Genomic DNA, 18607 nt, shown 5'->3' with positions numbered 1-18607 from the left:
ATTATTGGCACTTAACTAGCATGTGGTTTTAGGAAAGCTGTTCAACCTGAGGCGTTTTCTCATCTGTAAAGTAAGTCTCGATATGATAGGGTCTACCTTTTCAATTTGATGTGAGGATGGCAGGAGTTAATCTGTGTAAAGTGCTTAGAACTATTCCTGAAAAATAACCCTCAATAATGTTATCCGTACCCATATGTAATTAGGTAAACTCATTTAGTAAGTGATGGACTTCAGCAGTGGTTACTGCATGCCTTCTGTGTTTGTGGAATCATCTGTAATTCTGCTCTTCACAAATTGGAGGGCACAAACTTTGTAATGACACCTGGCAGGAAGGATGTTTTGTTATTGTGAACTGATCAAAAAGGAAGGTTTGTGCAACATAAAGGGAAGGAACCAATTAGCTAAATACTAGACTAAGAAAGCTTTATTTGTACAGAGAAAGTTCTTTCATTTTTTTTTCCTCCAAAATGTTGAATCCTGCCAGTTAGGAGCCTTACTCCTTTCTCTGTCTTTCATGGACTACATTATTGTTTTCAAAAAGACGTTCTTTAGACTTGTTTCTTGTGGAATAGATTATTTAAATTGATTTATTAACTTCCATTAGGGGCTAATGTGACTTCAAATGAGTCTGCCCTTTTCAACCCTGATGTAGAATTCCTGTTCCTCCTTTTCACACACTTATAAGGTCCCAGAGCTACTGAATACCAATGCTAGGGTCAAGTTCTCTTTTTAACAAATACACACATCCTTGGTCTTGAGTTGACACCTCTGCCTCCCCATCCTCACACTCAGGCATCTGCAAGCCTCAAGAAGCATCTGGGGGCAGGGGGCTGCCACTAACAAGACACATTTGGAAAGCACTAACTTAGTTTTGACTCATGGACATTATTCTGTAACCTTTATATTCTCTTACTACTCTCTTGTGAACTCTCAAAGTGAGCATTCACCAATGCCAGTAGTAAAGGCATTAGCTTCCTCCTTCTACATGCTGCCCAGGGATTCTGTCATCCTTGTTGGGATGGGAGTGTGTTTCCTGCCACCCGTCACACTGGGACTCTTGGTAAAAATATTTGTTAAAGGAGGAGATGAATCATGCTTTCCTAGATGTTAGCTTTGCAGTAGTCTCCTTCATCGGTTTGTTAATGAATTAGTCATAGCGATATCTGTCACACCCATATAGGTACAATTTACACAAAATGAATCATTGCAAAATATAGTCTGTATAATTTCTATTTAGAATGTAGATGCTATTCTCAAAGGACATCAATTTCACAAGAAGCTTGGTTTAAGTAGCTTTCCTTTGACTACTTTGTAGAAGCTTGGAATTGGTTAGGGTTTGGATATTTATCATGACATGGGTTAGGACTCAACATTTACACAAGATTTAAACTTACTAAGTCACTTTCTGCTTCTTATTTTATGAATTCAGATGTTCTGTTTTGCCTATATTGATATTTGAGGAAACGAATGTAACCAGTTTTCAAAAGAGAAGTATTTTTTCTTTCATTTAATGTTAGATATGCATAAAGATAATTTCGTAAAAAATATCCAATTTAAAGAATAATTTTTCATTTAACACCCATATAACATCTCCTTGCTCAATCACAACCCAACTTGGTTCATCTTCTCCTGGAAACCACCATTCTTCTTAGTTTTGTTAATATTATTGCTTGCTAGTCTTTCTTTTTTTAAAAATAAAAGACACATTTATTCAGCTTCATGATCAGACTATTACATTTAGCAATTGATAGCATGGGTGCAGACAAACCACTGTATTAAAACCCTTGGCTGGAATGCTTTATACTTTCCACAGAACAGAAATTAAAATAACCTGTTATATAACTAATCACAAATATGGTCCTTAACTCTTTTGCCCATACACGGGAGTATTGTATAAAACATGTCTTCTTTGTAGCAGCTAGGCCCTGTGCCACCACTGTGCTTTGCTGAGTTCACAAACCTGTTGCAACCTATAGCTTCCCTGTCACTTCTCTGGCTCTACTCTCCTACTAAGCTTTGTTTCCTGGCAGTAATTAAAATCTTCTGCCAGTGCCATAGCTAGTGCTACCCCTATAGCCTCCTTGGTTTTGTGGTTTGGCAAAGTACTGGCTTCCACCATCATAGGAACCAGAGCTTTTGCCTCCAAAGTTTTTTCCCTTCATGGATCAAAAATTTGAAGACCGGTGGTTTTAATTGCCAAAATCATTGTAGCTTCCACCACCTCCAGTGTTGCTCCCATCATTACCAAATTCATTATAGCCACCCCCACTGCTACCATATCCTCCACCACCACAGCTGCCACTAAAGCCACCATGACCACTGAAGTTTTCTCCATAACCAAAGATGTCGTTCCCACCAAAACCACCTCCATGGCCACCACGAAAGTTTCCAGAACTACTATGTCCTCTTTGGCTGGATGAAGCACTAGCCATCTCTTGCTTTGACAGGGCTTTCCTACCTTCACAGTTGTGGTCATTTGCAGTGTGGTATTTCTGAACGACAGTCTTATCCACAGAGTCATGGTTGTCAAAGGTTACAAAGGCAAAGCCCCTTTTCTTGCCACTGCCTCGGTCAGTCATGATTTCAATCACTTCCATTTTTCCATACTGTTGAAAATAATCTCTTAGGTGATGTTCTTCTGTGTCTTCTTTAATGCCAGCAACAAATGTCTTTTTCACAGTTGAGTGGGCACCTGGTCTTTGAGAATCTTCTTAGACAGCTCTCTTTGGTTCCACAACTCTTCATCCACCTTGTGTGGCCTTGCATTCATGGCTGCATCTGCCTCCTCCACGGTGGCATATGAGACAAACCCAAAGCCTCTGGAATACCTGGTGTTTGGATCTCATTACCACACAGTTCTTGAGCGTTCCCCATTGCTCAAAATGATTCCTCAGGCACTTATCGGTGGTTTCAAAGCCCAACCCTCTGATGAGGAGCTTCCACAGCTGTTCAGGCCCTTTGAGGGACTCTGATGTGCAGACATGACAGCAGTGGGAAGAGAGACAATGCTTCCTTTGGTGCTGTCCACTGACAGGTTGCTTTTCTTCATAGTTTTGTTACTTATGTATGCCTAAGGTTAGGATTGTTGGTTAAGAAAGCATTAATATCTTTAACTTTATTAGAAAATATCATTGTTCATAGTGATTATACCAGTTTGCACTCCTGCTGTAAGTGAAGTGTATGGAAGTTTCCATTGTTCTGCATCTTCACCAAGGCTCTGTTGTCAGACCTTAAATATTCCTGATTACTAATAAGGAGCACCTTTTAACATAGTTATTATTTGTATATCATCTTTTTAGAGCGCCTGTTGATGCTTTTTGCTCATTTTTCACATGGGCTTCATTTTCTATAGTTTTGTAGGATGCATTTATATATTTACACTAGATCTTGATTGATGGTGTTGCAAGTATATTCTCCCACTCTGTAGGGAATGTTATCTCTATTGATGATAGATTGATCTATTGTCAATCTGTTTCTCTATGGTATATTTTAAGAAAAATAAGTTCTTAATTTTAATGTAGTCAAATTTATCAGGTTTTTTCCTCTATATATATTGCTTTGTGAATATTAAGAAATCTTTTTTCTATCCTGAGGCTGTAAAATACTATGCTATAAGATAAATTTTATAAGATAATTATTATAAAATATTTACAATTTTGCTTTTTACAGTTTAGCACTTAATTGACTTCTAATAGATTATAGTATAAGGTTAGGATCCAGTTTTGTCTTTTTCCATAAGAAAGGAACAGAATATTTTTTTCCCAGCCAATAGTTATTGAAAAGATCATTCTTTGTGTAACTAATGATCTTCAGTGCTATTTCTATCATATATCAAGTGACCCTATAAATCATGGTATCTTTCTGGACTGTCTATTCTATCTTATTAGCCTATTTGTTAATCCCTGTGTCTGTACCATGCCATGTTAATTACATTGTAAGAATTAAAAATAATTCTCATTAGGAGGTAAGGTAAGTTGTCTTAACTTAGTCTATATTTTCATGCATTCCTTGGCTCTTATTGGCATTTTGCACTTTCATGCTTCCACATGCATTTTAGAATGGGCTCCTTATATTCAAACAAAACAAAACTCAAATTTTGAAGGAATCAGTTTGGGAAGACTCACACCTTTACAATATGAAGTCTTATAAATCAGAAACATGGCTTGCCCACTTGTCTTTCTGCGTTTATTTTTTTTTTTTTAGTAAAATATGTCAATAAAATGTTACTATTTTCTTATATGAGGTCTTTACATATTTCTGTTGAGTTTTTTCTGGGTATTTTGTATTTTTAGAAGTACTGTAAGTGTTATGCTTTTCTTTTTTAAACTGCTACTATGAGGATTTTTGTATATTTTTGTTGATAATACCAAGCAACTCTGCTAAACATGCATATTCTAATATTTTATCAGTTGGATCTTTTAGATTTTTCTAGATGTATGAACATAGAGAATAATACCTTCCTTTTTCTCTTTATAATCTATGTAGATTTTGTGTCTTTTTTCTCATCCATTACATCTGCTAGTAGCAGTAGAAAAATGATGAATATCAACAATAGTAGCAGGTATTGTTGTGTTATGCTGAATCTTACAGGGAAAATATTTACCAATATAATATTTAATGTCAGATTTAAAACAAATTAACATCCTTTTTTTGGTGTACTTTTTCTTGAACTTAATGTGTATGGATTCATGTAACAACCACCATAATCAGGACAGAGAATAATATCTAATATCATTATCCCTAAAATTCCTTTGCTTGCTGCCACTTTGCAGTCAACCCCCTCCCCAAACCCCCATCTCTAACCTCTGGCAACTACTATTCTGATCTGTTCTTCATCCCTCTAGATTGTCTTTTCTAGATGTCATATAAATGCTATTGAACAGTGGTTGGCCTTCTGAGACTGACTTCTTTCACTCTGCATAGTGCCTTTAAGATTCTTCATGTTGGCCAGGCACTTTGAGAAGCCGAGGGGGGTGAATCACCTGAGGTCAGGAGTTTGAAACCAGCCTGGCCAACATAGTAAAACCCTGTCTCTACTAAAAATACAAAAATTAGCTGGGCATGGTGGTGGGCTGTAATCCCAGCTACTCTGGAGGCTGAGGCAGAAGAATCGCTTGAACTTGGGAGGTGGAGGTTCCAGTGAGCCAAGATCGTGCCATTGCACTTTAGCCTGGGAAACGAGTGAAACTCCATCTCAAAAAAAACAAACAAAAAAAAGATTCCTCCATGTTGATGCATATATTCGTCTTTATTGCTGAGTAGTATTCCATCATATGGACATACTATCATTTGTTTATGCATTCACCCATTAAATGAAGCATGTTTACTGGCTTTGAAAATTATTCTACTTCCTTGATCAAGCTACTTAATGTCTCTATGCATTAGTATCTTCATCAGTAATGGAGACAATAATGGTACCTACATCATAGGGTTATTGTGGAGATGAAATGAGTTGATAAAGTAAGACTTAGAATAATGCCTGATATATAGTAAGTAGTCAGCAAATGAAATCCTTTATTATTGTTTTCAATATTAGCAAAGATTTTGAGATAGAAAATAATTTGACAAGTTCAAGGAATGGCAAGAAAGCCAGTGTACGGTGGAGTATGATGAACAAGGGGAAGGAGTGGTATGAAATGATAGGGAGAGATATGTAGGAACCAGGACATGGAGGTCTTTATGGGCTGCAACAGAGAGCTCTGATTTCACTCTAATTGCGTGAAAAACCAAGGATGAGATGATCTGGTTCATGTCTATGTAGATCACTCAGTCTGCTTTGATGAGCATCAGTTACAGTGGTGCTAAAAGTAGAAGCAGGCACCCTACCAGAAGTATACTGCTTTAATCTAGTGGAGATGGTGGTAACTTGGATTATCGTGGTGCTGGTGGGGATAATGACAAGTGGTCACTACCAGACCATTCGAGGTATGATTTGGATTTAGAACCCACAGAACTTTCTGATGGATTCACAGCTCAGTGGAGCACCTTCCCCACAACAGTAGAGGTCTATCTAGCCGTAATTATCAGCAGCAACACTACTTTTCTGGCGTGGCTTTGCCAATGATTTCCTTCTTCCATTTTTAAATTAAAACACAAACTTTCATGCCTGATTTAGGAAATCTACTTGGAGAAATAGCCTGGCTTTCACACATATTTCAATGAGGTCAAACTGCTTCTTGCTTACTCATACTCATGACCCCAAACACATTTGTAAAATAATTGGCTTATCTCACAAAAATGTGTGCTCATAGCATTTTTGTCTTGTGGTTCTCTGCAGCCTGTATAGTTCCATGACCCCACACACCTAGAATTTCTGCTGGAAATAAAGTTGTCTTGACAGCTGCATGCTTCGCCAGCAGAATGATAGTTTTAGTGGTTGGCTGGAGTTCTTACGTACACTTGGGACTTATTGTTGAAATAAACATTATTAGACTCATATTAAAATTGGACCAGAAATTTATTTTTGTCCTTTCAGCCTCAGTTCACCCTAGAATCTCTCATCCAAATGACAAATAGTATTGACTTTCTGAGATAAAGATTAAAATCAGCCCTGGGTGCTTACTTAGCCTTGCATTCAAATGGAGATTTTTTTTTTCTTTTTTGAAACAGAGTTAAAAATAGAGTGCTCTGATCTCACATAGAAAGTTTTCGTTTGTTTCCTGCCCTGTCTGCTCTTAAGATGTCTGTATTTGTCCTCTGTGGGGACTTAATTTCCAACTCCTTAAATACAAACTCCTGACCTAGTGTTTATCTGGAACACACTCATCATCCCTTTTTTTTTCTTTTAACCCTATCCCATCTGCTTAATTTGTGTCTTTTCGTAATTCAGCGTTTGCTAAAAGGAAGGAATTTACCTTTTACCCTGAACTACTTGTCCTATCTTTCTGTAATTTTTAACATCTCTTGTAAGGTTGATGTCAAATTGTGGCATTTATTTTAGTCAGTTTATTTCTAAGAGGACCAGTAGATAAATTTTGTGCTTAATTTTGTACTTCTTTATAATTGGCCTCTTTTTTGATTTTACAGAATACCAAGCTGCTATTTTACACTTGAAGAGGGAGCACAAAGAAGAAATTGAAAACCTGCAGGTATGCCTCTTTGATGCTACTGAACGGGTTCTATAGAACTGATACTTGGTTTTCTCCTATGCTGAAGTAAATATTCCTCTTAAGTTGAAGTGTTAAACTAGACAGCATCGCATCTTGCAGCTGCCAGTAGGCACTGTGTCTATACAGGGAATGAAAAGTCTTGGATTCTGTTTTTAATAGAATTCAATTTCTAATTTTAAAAAATACCATAAATGCATTTGATTGGATTGGAAAATGATTATTTTATTTTTAAAGCAGAAGAGAAGATGGAATAGACTTCTGCTGTTATATAAAATATAGTAGAAGTTTTTTTTTCTAGGTACGATGGAAGTTATTTTTGTTCAGCTTCCTCTTGTTCGGGTGTTCATGTCTGTATGTTTCTTAGCACATCCCTGCAATATGATGTGATGCAGATTACAAAATTTAAGGAAGGAGCCCTAGGAGGTGGAGGAGGAGGAGTTCTGAGCCCTTCCGTATCCTCAGAGAGTGCTGGGAAATTGTTGACCTGATCCTCCCTTGTGAAGCCCGGAATGACTGAGGGATCATTTCCCTTGTGCTGCCATCTAGTTGACTTTCCCTGTATTTGGCATTTGCTTGTAGTGCCTGTGGCAGAAAGTTCAGAATCTTAACTTCAAATAACTGGATACTGAATCAGGCACTGAGACTTGTTTACTGATGGCTGCAGTAACCCCCTGCTTCAGGAGAGAATGACAGCAAAATTTCAGTAACATTTTTTCCTCATTTAATGTTAACTCATGACTGCTAATTTAATCAATCTGTGGATCAGACATTTCTTTTCTAAAAATTTGTTAGTTTGCGAATAGAAATTGTATATATACGGTATATGACATGTTTTGAAATATGTATATATTGTGGAGTAACTAAATTGAGCTAATTAATATATACTTTGTCTCACATACATTGCCTCACATATTTATCATTTATATGCGGTGAGAACACGAAAACTCTGCTCTTTTAGAAATTTTAAAGTATACAATAACATGGTTATGAACTATAGTCACCATGTTGTACAGAAGATCATCTTGAATTTATTTCTCACATCTAACTGAAATTTGTCTCCTTTCATCAACATCTCCCTAATCCTTCCCCACTTTTCACCCCTCTCTGCCCCTAGCCCCTGGTAACCACCATTCTACTCCCTGTTCCTGCGAGTTCGACTTTTTTAGATTTCTCACATAAATGAGGTCATGCCATGTCTTTCTGTGCTTGGCATATTTCACGTAACATAATGTTCTCTAGGTTCATCCATATTGTAGCAAATGACAGGATTATTTTTTTCTTTTTAAAGACTAGAGTATTCCATTTTGTGTATAAACCACATTTTTTTTAACCATTTGTCCATTGATGGACACTCAACGTTGATTCCATATCTTGGCTTTTGTGAATAACGCTGCAGTCAACATGAGAGTGTAGATATCTCTTCAACATACTGACTTCATTTCCTTTAAATATATACCCAGTAGTGGGATTTCTAGGTCATATGGTAATTCTAGTTTTAATTTTTTTGAAGAGCCTCCACACTGTTTTCTACAAACTAGTTTACATTCCTACCAACAGTGTGCATGGGTTCTCTTTTTCCATATCCTCACCAATACTTGTAATCTTTTGTCTTTTTTTGGCAATAGCGATTCTAACAGTTGTGAAGTGATATCTCATCGTGGTTTTAGTTTGCATTTCCCTGATGATTAGTGATGTTGGAGCATTTTTTTCATATATTGGTTGACCCTTTTGTATGTCTTCTTTTGAGAAATGTATTTTCAGATTATTTGCTCATTTTTAAATCAGGCTGTTTGTTTTCTTGCCTTTGAATTCCTTAAATATTTTTTGTATATTAACCCCTTATCAGATATATGAAAACATCCTTCTTTTCAATGAATGATAATGTGCTTTTAAAAATAACTGAGTCGGTGTATTGGATTATATGTTATGTTATTGCAAGTAGCAGAAAATTATTCGATAAGTAGTATGGTGTATGAATTCAAGCCCTACCCATCCAGCAGAGTTTAAATAGTTAGGGAGAGAAAATGAGTCAATTTCACAAAGAAACAAAAAAGTGGAAAAGTACCTCTGTCTCCTAGAAGAAAAGGAGAGGAGGGAGGCCCTTATCTCCCTTGTTACAAAGGGAGACCTCTCTTTCTTTTTCTTTGTTCTGATGTGAAAAAAGATTGTCAGCTGCCTCAGAGGAACTGAAATTGGTAGGGGATAATTTAAGACACAGATTCCTAAAGAGGGCAGGAACAGAAGTGATTCTGTAAGCAGAAGTTGTGTTAACAGCCAAGTTGTAACAGTTAACCCTAGCTTTCCACAAACTGTAGACCAGCCTGGCGAGGGCTTTGACAGTGGAATAATATTCTTGGTAACAGAAGATGCTTACAGTTTTTTAATTCTTGCTGTGTGCTAGGTATTGTTCTAAGCACATTATCTCATTCTGTCTCTGCAAAAGTCTTATGATCTTATATATCTCAAACTAAGAAAAGATTGGAGATGGAAAAGAGGAGTATATGGAAGAAGGAAAGTATATTGTGATCATGATCTGCACTTAAAATACAGGTTAGACTAAGGTGTGATTAACAGTAGTAAAGATTAAAAATGTTCCAAACTATACTTTAGATTTTTAAAAACCATCTGTAAAAAAATCATCTGCTCTTTTGATGATACTAGTACACTTAAACAACTGTTGTTGCCCCACATTTATGATGTTTACCTAATTGCTAAAGCCATGGCCACCATGGCTCACTATTGCCATCTGGGTGGTACATCCAATTTATACACTTAGCTGTAGTTTTTTTTTTTTAATATTATTATTATACTTTAAGTTTTAGGGTACATATGCACAACGTGCAGGTTTGTTACATATGTATACATGTGCCATGTTGTTGTGCTGCACTCATTAACTCATCATTTAGCATTAGGTATATCTCCTAATGCTATCCCTCCCCGCTACCCCCACCCCACAACAGTCCCTGGTGTGTGATGTTCCCGTTCCTGTGTCCACGTGTTCTCATTGTTCAAGTCCCACCTATGAGTGAGAACATACGGTGTTTGGTTTTTTTGTCCTTGCGATAGTTTGCTGAGAATGATGGTTTCCAGCTTCATCCATGTCCCTACAAAGGACATGAACTCATCATTTTTTATGGCTGCATAGTATTCCATGGTGTATATGTGCCACATTTTCTTAATTCAGTCTATCATTGATGGACATTTGGGTTGGTTCCAAGTTTTTGCTATTGTGAATAGTGCCACAATAAACATAGGTGTGCATGTGTCTTTATAGCAGCATGATTTATAATCCTTTGGGTATGTACCCAGTAATGGGATGGCTGGGTCAAATGGTATTTCTAGTTCTAGATCCCTGAGGAATCGCCACACTGACTTCCACAATGGTTGAACTGGTTTACAGTCCCACCAACAGTGTAAAAGTGTTCCTATTTCTTCACATCCTCTCCAGCACCTGTTGTTTCCTGACTTTAATGATCGCCATTCTAACTGATGTGAGATAGTATCTCATTGTGGTTCTGCTTTGCATTTCTCTGATGGCCAGTGATGGTGAGCATTTTTTCATGTGTCTGTTGGCTGCATAAATGTCTTCTTTTGAGAAGTGTCTGTTCATATCCTTCGCCTACTTTTTGATGGGGTTGTTTTTTTCTTGTAAATTTGTTTGAGTTCACTGTAGATTCTGGATATTAGCCCTTTGTCAGATGAGTAGGTTGCAAAAATTTTCTCCCATTCTGTAGGTTGCCTGTTCACTCTGATGGTGGTTTCTTTTGCTTTGCAGAAGCTCTTTAGTTTAATTAGATCCCATTTGTCAATTTTGGTTTTGTTGCCATTGCTTTTGGTGTTTTAGACATGAAGTCCTTGCCCATGCCTATGTCCTGAATGGTATTGCCTAGGTTTTCTTCTAGGGTTTTTATGGTTTTAGGTCTAACATGTAAGTCTTTAATCCATTTTGAATTAATTTTTGTATAAGGTGTAAGGAAGGGATCCAGTTTCAGCTTTGTACGTATGGCTAGCCAGTTTTCCCAGCACCATTTATTAAATAGGGATTCCTTTCCCCATTGCTTGTTTTTGTTAGGTTTGTCAAAGATCAGATAGTTGTAGATATGCGGCATTATTTCTGAGGGCTCTGTTCTGTTCCATTGATCTATATCTCTGTTTTGGTACCAGAACCATGCTGTTTTGGTTACTGTAGCCTTGTAGTGTAGTTTGAAGTCAGGTAGTGTGATGCCTCCAGCTTTGTTCTTTTGGCTTAGGATTGACTTGGCAATGCGGGCTCTTTTTTGGTTCCATGTGAACTTTAAAGTAGTTTTTTCCAATTCTGTGAAGAAAGTCATTGGTAGCTTGATGGGGATGGCATTGAATCTATAAATTACCTTGGGCAGTATGGCCATTTTCACGATATTGATTCTTACCCATGAGCATAGAATGTTCTTCCATTTGTTTGTATCCTCTTTTATTTCATTGAGCAGTGGTTTGTAGTTCTCCTTGAAGAGGTCCTTCACATTCCTTGTAAGTTGGATTCCCAGGTATTTTATTCCCTTTGAAGCAATTGTGAATGGGAGTTCACTCATGATTTGGCTCTCTGTCTGTTATTGGTGTATAAGAATGCTTGTGATTTTTGCACATTGATTTTGTATCCTGAGACTTTGCTGAAGTTGCTTATCAGCTTAAGGAGATTTTGGGCTGAGACAATGGGGTTTTCTAGATACACAATCACGTCATCTGCAAACAGGGACAATTTGACTTTCTCTTTTCCTATTGAATGCCCTTTATTTCCTTCTCCTGTCTAATTGCCCTGGCCAGAACTTCCAACACTTTGTTGAATGGGAGTGGTGAGAGAGGGCATCCCTGTCTTGTACCAGTTTTTAAAGGGAATGCTTCCAGTTTTTGTCCACTCAGTATGATATTGATAGATAGCTCTTACTATTTTGAGATACGTCCCATCAATACCTAATTTATTGAGAGCTTTCAGCATGAAGTGTTGTTGAATTTTGTCAAAGGCCTTTTCTGCATCTATTGAGATAATCATGTGGTTTTTGTCTTTGGTTCTGTTTATATGCTGGATTGTGTTTATTGATTTTCGTATGTTGAACACTTAGCTGTAGTTTTAAACTATTCTAGCAGTCACAGATGGACAACCCTCAGTAGGAAACCAGCAACCCTCTTCTCTAATCTGACCCAAAGAAGTGTTTCATTTGGCAAACACAGTGTTTTAAAGATTGAACTAGGAATAAATATTTTAAAATATGGAGATTTTTATATAAAACCTGGATTTCTAGCTGCTGCTTTAAAACTTGGAGAAGCTGGCACCAAAGGACTTATTTTCTTGTATGACTTCAACCTGCTGGGGCTAAGTCGCAGGCATTCACTTCCACCAGGATGCATGACCTCTCATTTGCCAGGGTGCTCTCTGGGCCACTTTACCTGCCTGATTAATTACCCCTGTACTCTGGGTGATACTGAAAATAAAATGAGACAACTGGTTTGGCATCAATACAATAAAAAATAGATGCTGTTCGTAAAACGAACAGACAAAAACCCACCCTAGCTGTACTTGTGAGTACTCACTGAATATCACCCCTACCTGTTTTGTTTCACTAAGTAGTGGACTCATCTTTTGTCACAGACCTAGTGGAAGATAGTGAGTGGGAAAAATATGTTGATGCTTTACATGTGATTTCCATTGGCAGCTATCATTGTTAGATTTTCTTTCTCCATATACAAGTTATGGAGAATTCAGATATGTTTCCAGACTTCTTCAACATGCCTTTCTAGAATAAGAAGGGTTTCATGCTTTTAAAGTACAAAAGAAAAAGTGACTCATTCTGTCACCATGTACAAGAATTGATAAGTATCACATTTAGGTCTTTTTGGAATGTTTTCATAGAATTTAAAGAAAACAGCATGATTCAATAAGCAGAGAACCTAAATAAGCAGAGAACTTTCCATTTTGTTTTAACCATACACTTGAAGGGAAATCACTTAATTGTTCAGTTTCCCCCACCAGCAAAATGCAAGCCCTATCACCTAAAATATTTGGATTGGACAGTTGATTATTTTACCCTGTAGTTCCATGGGCAGTAAGTGGGGGAGCTTAGGGTTTTTATTCCATGTGTGCTCTGCAGCCAGCATTCGTTGAGTGGTGCAGTATGGAAAGGGCACAAGGCTGCTCCTGCTACTAGCTTATCAAAAGGTGTAGCATGCTGCATGCGCGCACCACCGCAGTCCAGCCTGAGCGAGGGAGTGAGACTTTGTATCAAAAAAGAAGAGGAGGAGGAGGAGGAGGGGGAAGGGGGAGGCGGAAGGGGAGGGGGAGGAGGAGGAAAGTCCAATGTCCCAAATATGTCCTCAACCAAAAAAAAAAGCACAAAGACCACTCTAAACTCGAGGAGGAGGGAGGAGGAGGAGGATGGGGGGAGGTGGGGGGGGAAGTGGGAGGAGGAGGAGGATGAGGGGGGACGCACTTGGACAAAACTGAAGAATTATGTTGTGGATATTATAAATGACATAAAACAGTGAAGTCATGGGAAATGACCTGCAACCACCCTCCCGCTGGAGATTTGAATGGCAAAATCATCCAAGTACTTACTTTAAGTAAAGGTGTATAAACATGTGTACCAGAAATTGATTCATTTAAATAATCAATAAATCTTTGCTTTTGAACTATAAGGGGAAGGTAAATGTAAATTGCTACACTTTTTTTTTTCTTTTTGAGACGGAGTCTTACTCTTGTTACCCAAGCTAGATTGAAATGCTGTGATCTCGGCTCACTGCAACCTCCGCCTCCCAGATTTAAGCGGTTCTCTTGCCTCAGCCTCTTGAGTAGCTGGAATTACAAGCATGTGCTACCACATCCAGCTAATTTTTGTATTTTTAGTTGAGACAGGGTTTGGCCATGTTGGCCAGGCTGATCTTGAACTCCTGACCACAAGTGATCCACCCGTCTCGGCCTCCCAAAGTGCTGGGATTACAGGCATGAGCCACTGTGCCTGGCCGTGGATTTATTCTTTAAGGGTGACTTGTCTGTGATCTTCCTGCTGTACTTGTGCCTGTGTGCTTTATATCAGGGTGGTCTAAACTAGCTTTTCCCAAGACAGAATCCACTGAACAGTGATACTTTGAAATGCCTCTTGACAAAATGTTTTCATGGTCAAATATATTTGAGAAATATCTATTGCTGTGTTTGAGCTTTACCACGTACAGGGAAGAACTATAAAGAGAATGCTGTATAGCTTATTTCCAACATAATCCTTTTTCTTCAAGAAACCCATTGTTTGGGATACTACCCTAATTGATTAATATAATCTTATTTTCTCAATGTATAATCCACTTCCTGAGTTCTGGTTGCATCCTTTATTTATTATTTTATCTTGTTTTTGTAAAGATGGAGTTTCTCCATGTTGCCCAGGCTGGTCTCGAACTCTTGGGCACGAGCCATCTGCCCACCTCAGCCTCTCTCTCCAAATGTTGGGGTTACAGGTGTCAGCCACTATGCTCAGCCCTAAATTCCTATTTACACCGCCTCCTTTTTTTTTTTTTTTTTTCCTGAGATGGAGTCTGGCTCTGTCGCCCAGGCTGGAGTGCAGTGGCAGGATCTCGGCTCACTGCAAGCTCTGCCTCCCAGGTTCACGCCATTCTCCTGCCTCAGCCTCCCGAGTAGCTGGGACTACAGGCGGCCGCCACTGCACCCAGCTAATTTTTTGTATGTTTAGTAGAGACGGGATTTCACCGTGTTAGCCGGCATAGTCTTGATCTCCTGACCTCATGATCCACCCACCTCTGCCTCCCAAAGTGCTGGGATTACAGGCGTGAGCCATCACGTCCAGCCACTGCCTCCCGTTTTTAACCTTTTAGTTACTCGTGGAAGTTCTCCTTCCTAGTCAGCAGGTCTCTAGTCCATCTACTTGCCTCTGTGGAGCAATGTGTTTAGGTTTTCAGTTACACTCTGAATGTAGTCCTCTAATCTTCCAGTGTCTTCTCAGATGTGTCACTCTGTGAAGGGATGCAGCTCTGGAAAGGTAAGTGAAACTCTGTAGGATACCCAAATCTTTATGACAAAAGGGAAGCCTGAGCATGGGATTAGTAGGACTTCTTTGGATCTCTACTTCTTCAATTTTGAAAGGGGAAGAAAGAAAAGTACATGCCCTTTGTCTGGCTTGTGAGGAGCTGGTAGCTTAAGAATATCGTTTTTGACCAACACCTTAAGCAGTTTGAAAGTAGAGGACTTGGAAACGACAGATTGTTGTATCTGTTTTTAACTAATGTTCTTTGGGTTGTGGGATGCAAGACAAAGAACCAGCCAATAGTGACATTTCCTTTACGGGAATCTTTTTCGTTTACCCCATTTATCACATGCATATTTCCTAATTGAGGGGAAACTTCACTGAGCGATGGCCTCTGGCAGGCCCCCTGCTCATTGTGCAATGCAGTCACATTTCTAGTTTGGTAACTCCCACTGCAAAATGATCCAGGGATCAATGCCAAACTGAAAATTAACTTACATTGTACCTTTTTGTCCCCAAGAGAATGAAATGGTATGCTGGCCTCCATTAAGACTTGTAGACTTCCTCATTTTACTGTGGCCAACACATTCCACTCATCCATTTCTAATAGTTTACACATTGCTGTTGAAACAGAATTGAGTGCAGACTCTATTTGAGCTGATACAACGAAATTTATAAAGGCATAAATCCCAAGCCTGTTCCATTTTTTTGTATTCTTCATTATCAACACAATACATTTAAATCTCTTAATTCCCAGATAATACTGTGAGGGAAAGGGAATAATTTGTAGGCCAATAAACAAAACTTTCACAAGTATGAAATGTGATGATTTCATAAAACCCTTATGGTATTCCCCTAAGTGCTGATATTAGTGTAATTCATTACTGAGATGCCAAAAAGGAAAAAATAGACAATATTGAGAAATATGTTAATTCATCATTTTAGTGTGACTGTGAAATGTTGTGAGGTTACTAGATTTACTGGTTTACTAGTGTTGAGATTCCTCTTGGGCGACTGGCTACCTAGAATCCGGTAGGTACATTTGGACTTGAATTTTCATGGAAAAGGAGCCCTTTGTCTCAGCCTTCAAGATACTGTCTTGCCTTCAGACAATTCAGATATAGAAGGAGGCTGTTGTAGAATGTTGATTGCTCATTTGTATCATGGGGGCCAATGATGGTTTTAGACATTTCCTTCATGCACCATCAGCCTTCAATCATTTCTGCTGAGTCTTAACCCCTGAACATGAGTCAATACAGGTGGACCAAGACAGTTTTCTTTTTATTGCAAAAGTTTTTTGACTTTAGGTGACGGGCTACTGCTGGAACCGGTGAGTTTCTGCGTGTTGGCCATTGCTTTTGACTCTTCATGAAATGGGAGAAAGCATGGTAGAGCACCACGGGGAGTGTTTCCTTCTCTCCAGACTTGTCCTGCCTCACTCAATAATTCTGTAAATTCTATACAATCACACATCACTCTTAAATATTAGGTTCTTCAGCTGTAAAGTAAAAGCATTGGAGTAGCTGGCGTAAGTTTCCTTCTAGCTTCAAAGTTCTATCATTTCTGGCCTGGGAAAAGAGTGGGCCCCTGCATCTGTCCCAACTCAATCCAAAGTCCTAGGAGATTTTCTTTTCCCATGTTACCTAGATCAGTGCTAGGCAACTAGCTGAAATTGAATAAATAGTTGTTAATTGATCTGACTGGACATTGCTGGAAATTTTTTCATGACTCACAGTATTTAGGTAGAAGGCTATTTGGGGGGTAGCATTAGGAAAGCTGCAGAATTCTTAAATTTGTGATACCATCAAATACAGCCCAGAGACGTTTATTCATTGAGCACAATAACATTTAAAAACTTCCTTTGAATAATTTTCAAATAAAGCATGGATGCTCTAGTTGCCAAAGTACTGCCCCACACTTACTATCATCTTATAGCCAGTCTCCTCTACTTATGTTGATTGCCTGGAGCCTGTAGACATCTGAGATTGTGACTTCTGGTACAGAGGATAAAGAGGCTGAGTAACATTTATTTTTTTCATGAACATACGAATACAAAGCAGAATTCCTTGAGCTTTTAGATATTTATGGACATTTACATTTGTGTCTTTTCTTTTCCCTTTTCTTTCCCTCTTGCCCTTTCCCTTTCTTCCTCTCTTCTGTCCTTTCCTGAAAGGGCTATTGAAGGAATTGAAAGGGCAGCAGCTTTGGAAGTGTAAGTGAAAGATGAGCTCTTAGTGTAAAAAATTGGGTATGGTCTGTGTTCTAGAACATTTTCAGGAAGGCATGGTAAGAGATTGTGTTGACATGAGAGATTAAATGCTGAGCACCCCATGCTTTTTGACTTAATTGGAGATGTTTATAATCCTGGCTACTGAGAAGGAAGCACCAGCTCTGTGCCAGGTACCATGCTCAGTGCTTCACGTAGATAATTTCGAACTACCTGAGACCCAGCGGAGTCAAGTGCAATCCTGAGCTTTCACAGCTGGTCAGTAGAATGGCTAGATTCATCAACCAGGTCTGCCTGGTTTCTAAATTTGATATGTATTCACTGCCTAGTATAATGATTTTTTAAGTTTTAATTTTTTCTCTCGTCCTGTGTCAAAGACCTGTACAAGGTAGGAATAAAGGATGATCTGCACAAGTTCCCCATGTGATTAAAAAAAAAAAAAAAGACGGTGATATTTCTGTAGTGTTAGGAAAGAAAAATAAACAATAGAGTTCTTTTATTTCACTGGTTTCAGAAATAAGGTGTTCTGTTCTCTCTACTGAGGTACGGAAGAAAGGAGCAGGTGGGAAATTTCTCTTTCCAGCTTTATTTCTCATAGCTGGTCCTGAGCCCAGTTTGAGGAAGTGCCTCTAATACTTGTCACCATAATCTTGATGTTTGCCTGTATTTATCTTAGAGATTTGAAACCTGAATCTCATAGAAGTTAATTTCCAAGATTGTAAATTGGGTAAGAAAATACTGTGGCTAGACTTCTATGCAGCTTGCCAGCTCCTTACTTCTTCGTTACGATTTTTGTAATTTGAACATCGGGGCTCAGCTGTTCTTTAACTTTAATCTTCTCCAGTATAGTCCCTGATACCCAACACTGCTGATTCCTTAACAGGCCTATGGGGTGATTCAGCTGTGTTCTCTATGCTGCCACCTCCTTGTATGGTGTGTTCATGTGTGATAAATGGTACTAGTTGCTGCTTCTAACAACTCCAACCTCATAGACTTTGGAATTCATAGTGTGAATTTATTGTGTGTTTGTGTGTATACGCGCGTAACATTATGTGTGCTTTGACCATTTCACTGCAATTTGTTGTAGCTTCCTCTGTGTCCTGGAGGAATAACAATAATAATATTTGGTACTTAATTGAGCATTTACTATGTGCCAGTCTTTATATATAAGGAGTGAATGAGCTATTACACCATTATGAGGTGGCCCTCTTACCCTGTACACTGAACTGCCTCTGGAAGATCTTAAAGGTCCTTGCCTAGTGAGAATATTC

At 38.5% G+C, this 18607-nt stretch overlaps 1 protein-coding gene and 1 pseudogene across 16 annotated transcripts in view; one reads left to right on the top strand and one right to left on the bottom strand.

The window, feature by feature from the left end:
* The window catches only part of FMN1 (formin 1), a 429171-nt gene that overhangs the window by 179613 nt on the left and 230951 nt on the right, over positions 1 to 18607 (top strand). For all 16 annotated transcript variants that reach the window (XM_011521509.4, NM_001277313.2, XM_011521504.4 and 13 more), the window contains one exon: positions 7027 to 7088. In XM_011521509.4, the coding sequence (XP_011519811.1) occupies positions 7027 to 7088 (62 nt within the window). The remainder of the gene's footprint in view (positions 1 to 7026; positions 7089 to 18607) is intronic.
* On the bottom strand, positions 1837 to 3034 carry HNRNPA1P71 (heterogeneous nuclear ribonucleoprotein A1 pseudogene 71; annotated as a pseudogene).

The sequence above is a fragment of the Homo sapiens genome, chromosome 15 (assembly GCF_000001405.40).
Source record: "Homo sapiens chromosome 15, GRCh38.p14 Primary Assembly".
Taxonomy (NCBI): domain Eukaryota; kingdom Metazoa; phylum Chordata; class Mammalia; order Primates; family Hominidae; genus Homo; species Homo sapiens.
This window is presented reverse-complemented; position numbering and strand designations above follow the sequence as displayed.